Source organism: Homo sapiens, chromosome 1 (genome assembly GCF_000001405.40).
Source record: "Homo sapiens chromosome 1, GRCh38.p14 Primary Assembly".
NCBI classification, from domain to species: Eukaryota; Metazoa; Chordata; class Mammalia; order Primates; family Hominidae; genus Homo; species Homo sapiens.
In genome coordinates this window covers 186,348,799-186,363,193 of record NC_000001.11, presented here as the reverse complement: position 1 = coordinate 186,363,193, position 14,395 = coordinate 186,348,799, and the positions used below count along the sequence as shown (strand labels likewise).

Genomic DNA, 14,395 nt, shown 5'->3' with positions numbered 1-14,395 from the left:
GTTCATCTGTTTTGCTTGTTTGAAATTTAAGTTTGTTACAGTTCTTAATGTTTTCTAGTTAAGAATCTATGCAAATACTTAATTTCTGTTTTGAAATAAAATTCTGCTTGTGTCCCTTAGCTACAGACAAAATCTTTTGAATAATCATATATCATCTTTAACTGTACGTGTTATTTTCTTGGATTTCTTTAGTATCGAGAAAAACGCTTGGAGCAAGAAAAGGAATTGCTACATAGTCAGAATACATGGCTGAATACAGAGTTGAAAACCAAAACTGATGAACTTCTGGCTCTTGGAAGAGAAAAAGGGAATGAGATTCTAGAGCTTAAATGTAATCTTGAAAATAAAAAAGAAGAGGTAAGTTAGTAAAATTGTGTTTTTCTTCATGTTGAGTATAACTTACATTTGTATGTCAGTTTATTAAATATGTATTCAGTAGTGTGTACCTGATTAGTTGTAAGATGAGTGGTTAAATGTGAATAATGCATTACATTTGGCGTAAAAAATCAACCAATTGCGTTTACATAAAGAATTTAAGATTCTTTGTCAAATCTGGTTAGTATCTACTGTCTTACGATATATCTTTCCTAAAATATGTGTTTGTTTAAGAAGTGGTGGTAAGTTTTTGTGAGCTAAATCTAAACATTGTTCTGTGAGCAGTTACTCTTAGTTTTCTTAAATATGCATATTTTAATTGCTTTTTCAGGTGGGGAGGGGGAGTTACTTAGCTTTTCCTTAGCAGCATAAACCTCATGTCAGAGTAATTTCAGTTAATATGACATCCTTTCCCCCTGCTCTATTTTTTGTTTTTAGGTTTCTAGACTGGAAGAACAAATGAATGGCTTAAAAACATCAAATGAACATCTTCAAAAGCATGTGGAGGATCTGTTGACCAAATTAAAAGAGGTATATATGACCATTAAAATGTCTTTTTTACAAAATACTAAAGCACTTACGAAGCTGTTATTTCACAAAATGATGTCATTTTTTAATCTGTCCTTGGCCCCATAAAACAGTGAGAGTCCTCCTTCCATATGCTGTAGCTAGGCTAAAATAGAATCAGAAATAGCAATTATATGTTATATTGAAAATACTATCTAAAAAATGAGTATGGGTTAATTTTATTGTTTAATTATTTTACTTTGAATTTAAAATATTAGTAATATTTTATCCTTAATTTATCTTTGTCATGAAGACTGATTTGAATTTGAGTGTTTTAGATTTAGCTCTTACTTTACAAAAATGGAATTTTTCATCTTGTCATTTGATAAGCATTCTAAATTTAGTTCAAAGTAGACTGCTATAATTGGGCTATTTTTTTCAGGCCAAGGAACAACAGGCCAGTATGGAAGAGAAATTCCACAATGAATTAAATGCCCACATAAAACTTTCTAATTTGTACAAGGTAAATATCCCACCACACATGTTAGTATCTAAATGTTGCATTGTTGACTGTTAGGTAACTTTTTAAGATTAACTTTTAGAGTGCCGCTGATGACTCAGAAGCAAAGAGCAATGAACTAACCCGGGCAGTAGAGGAACTACACAAACTTTTGAAAGAAGCTGGTGAAGGTAAGTGTTTTCAGTTATGGGAACATTATTTTTGTTATTGTACTCTTTTTTTTTTTTTACCCTTGTTTTGTATAGATGATTGGATTTAGGTGTTAGACTTTATTTGGGACAGAATTAGGTACAGAAGAAAGAACTTTGGATTAGGAAATTCAGAATTATATCTTAAGCAAATGTAAGTTTATATATTTTTGAAAATACAGACAGCAGGGGGTTTTGTTTGTTTTTTATCTAATAATCTTGTATAATTTGCTGATTTCTAATGAGAAAGTTTTCTTTTTTGAAACATTTACTCTGATAATGTTTGAATACTCTTACTTTATAAATAAGACATCCTCTTTATTTGCATTTTGTAAAGTCTTTTATTTCCTCAAATTTTTGCTTTTTTCAATGTATTATATTTATGGTCTTTTCCAATAATTTCCTTTACTTAGGATTAAAGATCAAAATCGAAATCAAAGATATACCTAGAACCACTTTTTACCCTTTGGGTTTCCTTATTTTCTTTGTGGGTAAGAGACATCAAAAGGAGAAACACCAGGCGAAGACAATTCCAAAATTATAAGTAGAGCAAGAACTTTCAATAGATACTGTCAGCTGAAGCCTCTCTAGAAATTTAATATTATCTGCTGAGGGGAGAAGTGACTGATCTGTTGCATTTTGTAAACTAAAATTTTAACTGTATGTTTGAATATTTGGTCTTTAAAATTGTTTTTTAGCCAACAAAGCAATACAAGATCATCTTCTAGAGGTGGAGCAATCCAAAGATCAAATGGAAAAAGAAATGCTTGAGAAAATAGGGAGATTGGAGAAGGAATTAGAGAATGCAAATGACCTTCTTTCTGCCACAAAACGTAAAGGTATGGCTAATAGATGCTTGTTAGTGAGTTGAAATACTACAGCTTTCCTACATAAAAGTCATTTAATTTCACTAATAGTATTTATCTGTCATGCTGTGATGTAGGAAACTCCATCGAGTTATATTAATAGAATTTGTTTTAAAATTAATACTCTTACCTGTATCTTTACAGAATCGGGCATATAAATACCATTTGATCACACACAGTCTTGTAAATTCCCAGGTTATTGCATGATTTTTTAGAATTAGATGTGTTACATGACTTTTTGATGTCATGTATTTAAAATTTTTATAGGAATTACTATATAATGTACAGTACATGTCACTTACCTTGAAAAATTATTAATGGCTTTTAGTTTGGAATTTTACAAATTATACTAGATGTGTATTTGTTGGCACAGGAGCCATATTGTCTGAAGAAGAGCTTGCCGCCATGTCTCCTACTGCAGCAGCTGTAGCTAAGATAGTGAAACCTGGGATGAAACTAACTGAGGTAAGAATGGTATTAAATGTTGTTAAATTCTTTTTCTTCAGCAAATGTATACAAATCTCTTCAAAATTTAATTCTCCCAAAACTTATTTTTAAAATCATCTTATAATTAGTGGATCATTCTAGGAAAGGCTTTCTTTGGTTCCTAGTGCTGTGTAACTAACATAGTAAACATTGCCATTTTGTGTTAGTGTTAAAGAATGTTTATTATGAAACTAGATCAACTAAATATTTGCGTTGTTATGGTTAGATTTGAAACAACCCTTTGTCTACTTTCAGCTCTATAATGCTTATGTGGAAACTCAGGATCAGTTGCTTTTGGAGAAACTAGAGAACAAAAGAATTAATAAGTACCTAGATGAAATAGTGAAAGAAGTGGAAGCCAAAGCACCAATTTTGAAACGCCAGCGTGAGGAATATGAACGTGCACAGAAAGCTGTAGCAAGTTTATCTGTTAAGCTTGAACAAGCTATGAAGGTTGGTTCCATTCCTAAAATTTAGCCGTGGTAACAATACAAATGAGAAATGATTTACTAGGTATTTTTTTTTCTTAAGGTGATTGAGTCAGAAAAATCTAAATACGATTTTCAATAAACACATTTTGAAACTTATTAAACACTGCTGATCTCAAAACGTCATACCTTTATTTAGCAATTTTTATGTATTTCAATTTTTATATAAAATTGTGAAAGCATTTTAACCTTTTTTTAATGCATTTACTATGTTTTCCTTAGGATTCTCAACTAGAGAATAATAGCCAAATCTCCTAAAACTGCTCTTCAAATTAAAATAATCTCTGTGTAATAAAACTCTCCTATTTGCCATAATCATTCTTTATCAGACAGTTGTAATAGCCTGCCTAGAAATAATAATATTGTTTGACCATAGGTAGAACTCCTTTTTTATACCATTTCACAATTTGGCGTGTCTCTATATGCATTATTTTGTTATTGCTCATTTGCTTATTAGAAGTGTTAATGAAATTCATAAAGATTTTTTCCTTTTAAGAGATACTGATGGAAAAAGAGGTTATACTCTGAATGTTTTGCCTTATGGTACAACTATTAACATTACTGAGGGAAATTGTCAAGATTTCTTGAACAAGTTTTATGGAGGAAATTCAGTTAAATGAATTTATATCTACTCTTCTAAACTGATAAATTGTTTCCCTTTTGTTGGAAAAGAATATAAATATATCCCTATTTCAAAATTAAATCTCTGTTGCTGTTATAATTTAGAAGTCAGTTTAAATCCAAGTACTTTATTATATCAGCTGGTTTTTTTCTTCTTCATCAAGTGAAGTCTAGCAGTCCCGCCTGCCTGAGAATATTGACTTTTTTACCAGCAGTGTAGTTTGCAAGAGAGCCCTTGGATCCAATTAGATCTTCCTTGAATTTTTCTCTCTGTTGAAAGTGAGGGTTTTACCTGAAGCTTGTTATTGTCTGAATGAGAAATAACATATTCAAATTTATACAAAACTTCTTTTTTAGTGGCTACAATATTATGTAGGATTTTATTTAGTGTATAAGTTGATTACTGGTGGTGTTTGAGTATTGTATGTCTTTATTACTTGTATAAATCCTAGAAGGAAGTACAAAATTTTCACTTGAATTTACATTTTAAAGGAGATTCAGCGATTGCAGGAGGACACTGATAAAGCCAACAAGCAATCATCTGTACTTGAGAGAGATAATCGAAGAATGGAAATACAAGTAAAAGATCTTTCACAACAGGTTAGAATTTTTTTGTTTGTTTTCCTACTTTTAAAAACCTGACTGCCCAGTAATCTTTGAATCTGTTTGAAGGTACCTAAGATAGAACTACCATGTATGAAATTCTAATTAATTAGGAATAGTACTCGAGCAGAGTTGCACCCCCATTGTTTCTTTTCATAGCCCCTCCCTTTTTTCAAATGTTTGATAAATTTTTAAATTATACGTGTTGGTTGTAATAAATGAAGAAATAATTCAAAGATAAATAAAAGCTTTCTCCAATTTCTACCCCTCTACCCTCTGAAGTCCCAAAGTGTAGCTAAGTTAACAGACAGTTGTGTATTTTTTTCACATCCTTCTCTGTATGTGTATATACATGAGCATATATAAACATATGTAAGAATTATTTGATTTTACTGAAGTAAGACTGGACTGTATGCATTACTCTGACACTTAACAAGCAAATCAATAAATTAATGTCTCATTCATATATTTTACCCTAATTTGTGTGTGTGTACATCCACGCAATGCACAAATGTAAAAATTTCACATGAATGGCATTATATATATGCTTTTTGTTTAAATGTCTATTTTTCATGCTCTGCCCTATCATATATACAAAAGCACACACAAAAAAATAGATATTTGTGGGTTTTATTTGATCACTGTTTTACAAAACTGGAGCCATGTTTTGGGAATTGTAATTTGGCTACTTTGTAATAAGTAATAGCCTTCAATACATACTTAAAAGTAATTTTATTCTATTAAAATTTGATTGTTTAGATTTTAATATCCAAGGATGCTTTATTTTTAAAGATAATTTGAGGCAGTACAAGTTGAAGGTTTTATAAGTAATGTTTTAATTTGAAAACTTTCATTCTAAACTTGTCCAGAATTGTAACTAATACTATTTTATAACATATTAAAACTTTGTTTTTAGATTAGAGTGCTTTTGATGGAACTTGAAGAAGCAAGGGGTAACCACGTAATTCGTGATGAGGAAGTAAGCTCTGCTGATATAAGTAGTTCATCTGAGGTAATATCACAGCATCTAGTATCTTACAGAAATATTGAAGAGCTTCAACAACAAAATCAACGTCTCTTAGTGGCCCTTAGAGAGCTTGGGGAAACCAGAGAAAGAGAAGAACAAGAAACAACTTCATCCAAGTAAGTAGTCACATACCTCAGCTTGTTGAGCAAACATTTATGAAAACCTCAGCTAGGCTCAGTGTCTCATGCCTGTAATCCCAACGTTTTGGGAGGCCTAAATGGGGTATCATTTGAGCCCAGGAGGTCGAGACCAGCCTGGACGACATAGTGAGACCATGTCTCAAAAAAAAGTAAAAAATTAGCTGGGTGTGGTGGCACATGTCTATAGTCCCAGCTACTCAGGAGACAGGCTGAGGTGGGAGGATCACTTGAGTCCAGGAGTTTGAGGCTGCAGTGAAGCATGATCATGCACCACACTCTAAGTGGGACGACAGGGTAAGACCCTGTTGCCCGCAAAAAAAATCTATGTGTTCCTAACAGTGCTAGATACTTGGGATATAGTGATATAGGGAGGAAAGAATTGAGCAACAATACCAAACAAAAAATTTCTACTCCAAGACCTCAGGTTATGGGTAAGACAGATGTAATAAATAGATAATAAAATAGGCAAGTAGACAATTTGCATTCACTGTGATTAGTGCCTATCTGTGGGATCATAGCGGTAGAGGACTTGTCCTAGATTTCAGGGAGCAGACCGGCTTCATGGAGAACCTGGAGAACCTATGTAAGAATTAGTCAGAGGTTTTTTCAAAATACATGTATAATGTCTTCTAGAAGAGGAAGAATGGCTAAGAAAGCAAGAAGACTAGAGTTTGGAGTGAGTGGAACTGATTTAATTTTTACAAACAAATTTTTCAGATTGCATTGGTAAGTATAAGTACCTGAGTCCTGTGTGGTGGGGATTTAAAAAGTAGTTCATAAAATACTCAGCATGAAAAAAAATAATGAGAGAGACAAAAATGGTATGATGAATGGTAGGCAAAGATGCTTGGTTAATTACAGTAGAAATTACAATCAGTTAACTCTCAGTTCAGTCCTGTGAATTAGGCCGACTTTTTCTACAGAATCACTGAGCTTCAGCTCAAACTTGAGAGTGCCCTTACTGAACTAGAACAACTCCGCAAATCACGACAGCATCAAATGCAGCTTGTTGATTCCATAGTTCGTCAGCGTGATATGTACCGTATTTTATTGTCACAAACAACAGGAGTTGCCATTCCATTACATGGTAGGTTTTTATAAAGTTATTTTAAGGAATAATTTAGAAATGTATATTAAGGGATTAATTTTGCAACATAAGCAATAGCCACTCTAATGATGGTAGCTTCAAATTTGACTACCATATATAATTGCTTATAACATCCCATCAACTGTAAAACATACCATTATTTTATGTATTGCTAAAAAGAAATGCTTTCTATTGTTGAAAAAGGTGCATTTCAGAATCAATGAATTACAGTATTTATTTTGGTTATGTTTTAATGACCAAAACAGATATGTTTTAATAAAACATAAATATGGATTATGTTTTAACCCATAAATACTGAATTATCTCTAATAACCATCAAAAAATCTTAATACATTGTTTAGTAGATTCCTTATTTAAAAACTCCTATAATCTTATTGTTTCATTTCAATAAGTTTAGCTTGTTTATTTGATAATAGTGTATTTGCAAAGAAGCATTAGATTAAAGCTGATTTATGAAAGCCAACAAAGCATTTTATTAGTCTTTACTTTCCTGAAGCTTCAAGCTTAGATGATGTTTCTCTTGCATCAACTCCAAAACGTCCAAGTACATCACAGACTGTTTCCACTCCTGCTCCAGTACCTGTTATTGAATCAACAGAGGCTATAGAGGCTAAGGCTGCCCTTAAACAGGTAAAGATCACACCTTTGTCCTGGGTTAGGTTTTTAGAGAACACAGTGTTACCTTCTCATAATCTCCAATATTTAGTTGCAGGAAATTTTTGAGAACTACAAAAAAGAAAAAGCAGAAAATGAAAAAATACAAAATGAGCAGCTTGAGAAACTTCAAGAACAAGTTACAGATTTGCGATCACAAAATACCAAAATTTCTACCCAGCTAGATTTTGCTTCTAAACGGTAAGTTTTCTTTTGTTTCAAATTAATTAAGTCTAAATGTTATACTTTACAATTCAAATCATTTAAATTCAAGAGCTAATTTGCAATAGTGTTGCTTTTTTTGTGAACTGTGTTCCAGAATGAGAACCTCTGGTAGTTCATTTTTTTCATATTGATTAATGATTCTCTAGGCAGTGCTAAGGGTTTAGCTTGTTTGATAAGTTGAAGCCAGGCGCAGCAGCTCACGCCTGTAATCCCAGCACTTTGGGAAGCCGAGGCAGGTGGGTCATTTGAGGGCAGGAATTCAAGACCAGCCTGGCCACCATGGTGAAACCCCATCTCTACTAAAAATACAAAAATTAGCTGAGCGGCAGTGTTGCATGCTTGTAATCCCAGCTACTCAGGAGGCTAAGGCAGGAGAATCACTTGAGCCCAGGAGGCAGTGGTTGCGGTGAGCCAAGATTGGGGCCACTGCACTCCAGTCTGGGCAAGAGAGTGAGATTCTGTCTCAAAAAAATAAAATAAAATAAAAATAAGTTGAAGTTCATGTGAGGAATGTTGGTAGTTTACCTTCCTAAGATTAAAGGACTTGTTTCGGTAGGACTTAATTCTTTTAAAAATGCACCAGATGATGAGAGAAATGAGAGCAAATTTTATTCCACCTTTTCTATTCTAGGTAGAAGAGAAGCAAGTGCTATGTAGTTTTAGGAGAATTAATTTTCTTGGTCACATCCAAAGAAATAATAAATATTTCATGATTATTTGTTATTAAATTCATTGAATGCTTGTTAGTTTAGTTTGTTAGGACAATATTTATTTTTATATAGTACATGATAAAACTGTTTCTGTTTTATAGCAGGCAGGATATATTGCAGGCAGTTACCCCTATACATCTAATAGTTCAGCAACCCCAATTAAAGCACTTCTTTTTTCTCTGTTGATACCTCTAGCCAGCCATTATGTCAGCTTTCAAGCACATAAGAAAATAAAACTGAGGATTATAGAAGAAAAAAGGATTAGCAAAAATCCATCACTAACCCTGTATAATAACTTAATTTGTATACTGCATTGTAGTGGGTGTCTGGTGTTATCAATATTGCATTGTCATTACTTTAAATATAATTGATTTTTTAAAAATAAGATTAAAAAGTTACTTAGCATGAAATACTTTGCTTACTTAGAACTTGAACCACTACATTTGGAATTGGGAAAAAAGAATGAAGGTTTTACCTTATTACACAAGCCACTTCTTCATAAATCATAAAATTAACCCCTTTCCCATTTAGAAAAAAAAAAGTGCAGCTTGCTGCCAGCGCTCATTTAATTTTACATAAGCATGCTGTTTGAGGTTGAGGCAAATCTGACAGATTTTCAGTGTGAAAATAAAATATAAAAACTGTTCCTGGAGTTATTTCTAAGCAGAATTCAACTTAACAGAAATATGTATGATGTTACATTAGGATTAGAGACAATATTCTCAGGGCATTTGGGGAAATGGGTTAAGCTATTGTGAAATTTCTTCAAGGGATTAAGCTAGGATATCATTTCAGTTACTTGTAGAATTACTTTTTTCATACCAGTTATGAAATGCTGCAAGATAATGTTGAAGGATATCGTCGAGAAATAACATCACTTCATGAGAGAAATCAGAAACTCACTGCCACAACTCAAAAGCAAGAACAGATTATCAATACGATGACTCAAGATTTGAGAGGAGCAAATGAGAAGCTAGCTGTCGCAGAAGTGAGTCCAATATCCCTTGTCCAACTTGCATTATAAGTTGCATTTGACATTTCTTTAGTTTTTACTTTGAATTTTACTCACTGATAGGACTTAGGTATTTAAGAAGTTTGGAGGTTACACCAAGTAATTAATACATAGTTTGCAAATAGCCAGTGTGCGTTAGTGGGGTGATTGTTTCTATTAAGATAGAAGAGGGAAAGGAATTTGTTTTTCTGCTGGGCTAAGATATACTCGCAAGTCTTGCATTTCAAAATAAATTTGTAGGTCAGTGTTTGGTTCTAACAAAGACGTTTTTTTTTTTGGTTTTTTTTTTCTTGAGACAGAGTCTCACTCTGTCGCCCAGGCTGGAGTGCAGTGGCACGATCTTGGCTCACTGCAAGCTCCGCCTCCCGGGTTTACGCCATTCTCCTGCCTCAACCTCCTGAGTAGCTGGGACTACAGGTGCCCGCCACCACACCTGGCTAATGTTTTGTATTTTTAGTAGAGATGGGGTTTCACTGTGTTAGCCAGGATGGTCTCGATCTACTGACCTCGTGATTTGCCCGCCTTAGCCTCCCAAAGTGCTGGGATTACAGGCATGAGCCACAGTGCCTGGCCAGACGAATATGTTATTCATTCTTGCTCATCTGTAATAAAAAGCAATATAAAAATTACATTGCATTGAATTTATATTTCTGAATTTTAACTTGAATATAAATGTCCATTTGAAATTATTACTTTTAACTAAATACTTAGTTTTGTGATGATAAATTTTTTATATAGTTTTCTTTGTTATTCAGTTATCTCTTCTGTCTTTGATCATTACTTGTAAGCTAGGTATAGTTGTCCCCCATTTTACCTGTGTAAAACAGACTCAAGAGCTAATGTATAATTTGCCTATTTTGGGACAGTCATGAGAGATGGGTTGGTTAGGACTTGAACCCATGTCTTATAATGCTCTTATAAGGCTGTATTCTTTATTTTTATCTTGCTCCAACTCCATTGTGAGGAGTGGGCAGCAGCACTTTTTCAAACTGGTAGAGTGAATTTTATCATTGATCATTTATATGAATCTGTGTGTAAATATGAGTACTTGTGTGTAAATATGAGTACTTTGAGCTTTCAAAACACTCTCCCTGGTCCCCTTGAGACTCAGACTCTTGGGGTTGAGGGGAGGGAGAAACTTTAAATAGATCAATCATCACTTTTAAACAGGTACTTTGAAACCGGCTTGGATTCTAAAAGTTACATAATTTAATAGTAGTCAGGTATGAATGATTACAGCAGTCATGCAATTCTGCTTTCTTCTTCTCACATATTAAATTTTTCTTGCTGTTATTTTTTAAACTGTGGATTGTTAGAGCAAGGAACCATAAGTATTTGTAATTGAAAGATTTTTTCATTGATGATCCCCAATAATTTTTGCTTCGTATTTTAGCACATGAAACTGTTTTGTATTTCCTTATACAATGAGGAGATATAGTCCCTAAGAGCATTAAAAAAAAGTAGTGATGTATGAATCATTTTAATTTTATAATCTTAATACACTTGACACCATGTTTTTCAGCATTTTTTATTTCATTTCTACTTATGTTTAGGTAAGAGCAGAAAATTTGAAGAAGGAAAAGGAAATGCTTAAATTGTCTGAAGTTCGTCTTTCTCAGCAAAGAGAGTCTTTGTTAGCTGAACAAAGGGGGCAAAACTTACTGCTAACTAATCTGCAAACAATTCAGGTAACCAAATAAAAAGCCTATGTAGAAAAAATGTATAAAAGTTAAATTTAGATTTTTTTTATCCTCTCAATTTCCTTAATTAGAAAATTTATCCATCACTTTTGTCATCCATTATGATCATTGAATTTTGCAGTTTATTAAGACATTTAAATATTTTAAATAAAATATTGAAAGAGAATTGATTGAAACCATACATTGGTAAGTCCTCAGGTATATTTACAGTGTCCTGTGCAGTTTTACTATTTATAAGATTAATTCTTTGGTTTTTATTTTCTTTAAAACTTTGGGAAATCTGAATGACGATTATAATACATTCCATCTCTTTCCTGTATAATAGATGTTTTAATATAAAAAATACCAGAATACTTTCTTGATAAATACTGTAGATTTTAGCTGCTTCATGTAGAAATGGGTTGTAATATTGTAATTCTTTCTTGCCTTCAATTTTTATTTTTTTGTATTGCCTTTTTCTTAAGCATAACCAAAAATCTTTTCTTTGCTTTAGGGAATACTGGAGCGATCTGAAACAGAAACCAAACAAAGGCTTAGTAGCCAGATAGAAAAACTGGAACATGAGATCTCTCATCTAAAGAAGAAGTTGGAAAATGAGGTGGAACAAAGGCATACACTTACTAGAAATCTAGATGTGAGTCCATCAGAGTTCTGAATTTCTGTAGGGTGTTTATGTTCAGTAATTAATCTGGTGTGTGGACAGTCTGCCATCCAAGATGAAGCATGATTTTGAAAAACTTTGTTACTAAGTTTTTCTTGCCTCACTCTATACCCAGTAATTTTTTTATTGGGTGCCATATATTGTGAGTTTTACCATGTTGGGTGCTGAGTATTTTTGTATTCCTTTAAATCTTCTTGAGCTTTATTCTGAGATGCAGTAAAGTTAATTTAAAATGATTTGATTCTTTTGACTTTTGCCTTTTATGATGTATTAGGTGGGCCCAGAGCAGTGTGCATTCTGGAACTGAGGCCAATACTTTCATGAGTATTAGTGCCAGTGTCCATTGCAATTGTGGGGTTTTTTTAGTCTGGCTGCAGAACAGGCATTATTCTTGACTTTCTTTGAGTAACAGGTATTCTTCACTCTTAATTCCTTTGGACAATTCTTCCCCTGTCTGGGGTAAGCTCCTTATATATTTGCAGCGATCGCTACTCTGATGAATATTTAAGGAGGACCCTCTGTAGAGCTCCAGGGTACTCTGTGTGTGCAACTCTCCTGTCTTATATTCTGTCTTACAAATTTGAGCTACTTTGGTCTCCCTGGACTCTCAGATCTGTGTTCTCAATTCAGAGAGTCTCCTGGGCTCTGCCTCATTTCCTCTTTCCTGTGTCATAGCCTGGAAACTTTTAAATCAGTAAACTAAGGCAATCTAAGGTTCACCTCTTTGGTTTTCTGTCTCAGGATCTCGGTTGTTTCATGTGTTTTGTCTGGTTTTTTTTGGCTGTTTCAGGTGTGACGGTAAATCTGTTTTCTGTTACTCTCTTGGCCGAGCTCCAAAGGTCTATAAAAAGATAGTTTGAACCTTTAGTTACTTAGGAACCTAAAGAATGTTATAAGATTAATGTATTTTATAGGTTCAACTTTTAGATACAAAGAGACAACTGGATACAGAGACAAATCTTCATCTTAACACAAAAGAACTATTAAAAAATGCTCAAAAAGAAATTGCCACATTGAAACAGCACCTCAGTAATATGGAAGTCCAAGTTGCTTCTCAGTCTTCACAGAGAACTGGTAAAGGTAAATAAAATAAGTAGACCAATATAATTGTAAATAAACAAGTACTTCTTGGGATTATAATATATCCTGTCAGTAAATAGCCTAATTCTTTGTGAATGCTAGTAAAATGAAACAAACACAAAAAAAAACCCAACTTTTTCTTTATATAGTGGTACTCAATTTTGGGCCTAAACTAGTAAATTTGCTGTCTTAAAAGATTCAGAATAGTTCAGCTTGGCATTTGATCAAGGTATGTACCCAGCTTTCTAATTCTTGAAACTATTTATTGATACTTTAAAAATTATTCTTTCTGAAGAGGGTTATTTGATTTTTTAACCCGGGCCCCTTGGAAATAAGGTTGCTTACCAAATCTGCAAGAATAAGTTTCTCTTAAAGAATGAGTTGATTTGTGATCTCCTTTAAAGCAGTATTCCCAATATTTGCTCGTTGGTAGCCTCAGGTAAAAGATTTGTTTCATAGATTTTGCTTCCCTTTTTAAATACATCTTTCAAGTTCGAAGCCTTTGTGTCTTGATAATCTTTCTATATGGTTTTATTTATTTATTTATTTTTTTTTTTTTTTTTGAGAGAGAGTCTCGCACTGTTGCCCAGGTTGGAGTGCAGTGGCGCGATCTCGGCTCACTGCAAGCTCCGCCTTCCAGGTTCACACCATTCTCCTGCCTCAGCCTCCCGAGTAGCTGGGACTACAGGCGGCCGCCACAACGCACAGCTCATTTTTTGTATTTTTTTTTTTTAGTAGAGATGGGGTTTCTCCATGTTAGCCAGGATGGTCTCGATCTCCTGACCTTGTGCTCTGCCCGCCGCGGCCTCCCAAAGTGCTGGGATTACAGGCGTAAGCCACAGCGCCCAGCCAGTTTTATTTCTTAACACAAGGGAAATAAATAACTAATAATTGTATGCAGACTTTCTGATTTACACAGTTTTTCAACCTGTGGTGCAAAAGCAGTACACATTCAGTAGAAACTACTTCAGTATAGTATTTGTTCAGTAAATTACATGCAATACTCAACACTTCATTATAAAATAGGCTTTGTGTTAGATGATTTTTCCCAACTGTAGGCTAATGTAAGTGTTCTGAGCACATTTAAGGTAGTCTAGGCTAAGCTATAAGCTAAGCTATGGTGTTCAGTGAGTTAGGTATATTAAATGCATTTTCAACTCATGATAGTTTCAAATTATGATGAGTTTATCGGGATGTGACCCCACTGGGAGTAGAGAAGCATCTCTCTGTATCTGTCCATATATACAGACCCATAAATATCTGATCCATATAAATAATGGGTGTATAATTATCTAGTAGATAATTATATACTTTCCTATTGATATCATGTGATAAAACATTCTTTCCAATTTACAGTTTTCTGCCTATTTTATGTACTTACAATAAAAATTGGGCTAAATTTTAGATTTAAGATTTAGTGTTTT

General features: G+C 33.5%; 1 protein-coding gene across 1 annotated transcript in view, besides 2 other annotated features; it reads left to right on the top strand.

The window, feature by feature from the left end:
- The window catches only part of TPR (translocated promoter region, nuclear basket protein), a 63,602-nt gene that overhangs the window by 12,060 nt on the left and 37,147 nt on the right, over positions 1 to 14,395 (top strand). Inside the window, exons 6-21 of the mRNA NM_003292.3 lie at positions 193 to 357; positions 814 to 906; positions 1,325 to 1,405; positions 1,485 to 1,572; positions 2,289 to 2,429; positions 2,830 to 2,921; positions 3,198 to 3,395; positions 4,544 to 4,651; positions 5,571 to 5,797; positions 6,745 to 6,908; positions 7,426 to 7,559; positions 7,636 to 7,784; positions 9,344 to 9,506; positions 11,084 to 11,218; positions 11,724 to 11,864; positions 12,806 to 12,971. Coding sequence (NP_003283.2) covers positions 193 to 357; positions 814 to 906; positions 1,325 to 1,405; positions 1,485 to 1,572; positions 2,289 to 2,429; positions 2,830 to 2,921; positions 3,198 to 3,395; positions 4,544 to 4,651; positions 5,571 to 5,797; positions 6,745 to 6,908; positions 7,426 to 7,559; positions 7,636 to 7,784; positions 9,344 to 9,506; positions 11,084 to 11,218; positions 11,724 to 11,864; positions 12,806 to 12,971 — 2,245 coding nt within the window. The remainder of the gene's footprint in view (positions 1 to 192; positions 358 to 813; positions 907 to 1,324; positions 1,406 to 1,484; positions 1,573 to 2,288; positions 2,430 to 2,829; positions 2,922 to 3,197; positions 3,396 to 4,543; positions 4,652 to 5,570; positions 5,798 to 6,744; positions 6,909 to 7,425; positions 7,560 to 7,635; positions 7,785 to 9,343; positions 9,507 to 11,083; positions 11,219 to 11,723; positions 11,865 to 12,805; positions 12,972 to 14,395) is intronic.
- Positions 7,349 to 8,548: an enhancer, noted in NCBI's record as "BRD4-independent group 4 enhancer chr1:186323778-186324977 (GRCh37/hg19 assembly coordinates)". NCBI's record gives its function as "activates an origin of replication core promoter dependent on BRD2, P300/CBP, MED14 and CDK7 cofactors, and independent of BRD4, by STARR-seq in HCT116 cells {active_cell/tissue: HCT116}" and the evidence as "EXISTENCE:reporter gene assay evidence [ECO:0000049][PMID:35650434]".
- Positions 9,531 to 9,731: a silencer, noted in NCBI's record as "peak515 fragment used in MPRA reporter construct". NCBI's record gives its function as "represses an SCP1 promoter by STARR-seq MPRAs in K562 erythroleukemia cells {active_cell/tissue: K562}" and the evidence as "EXISTENCE:reporter gene assay evidence [ECO:0000049][PMID:32103011]".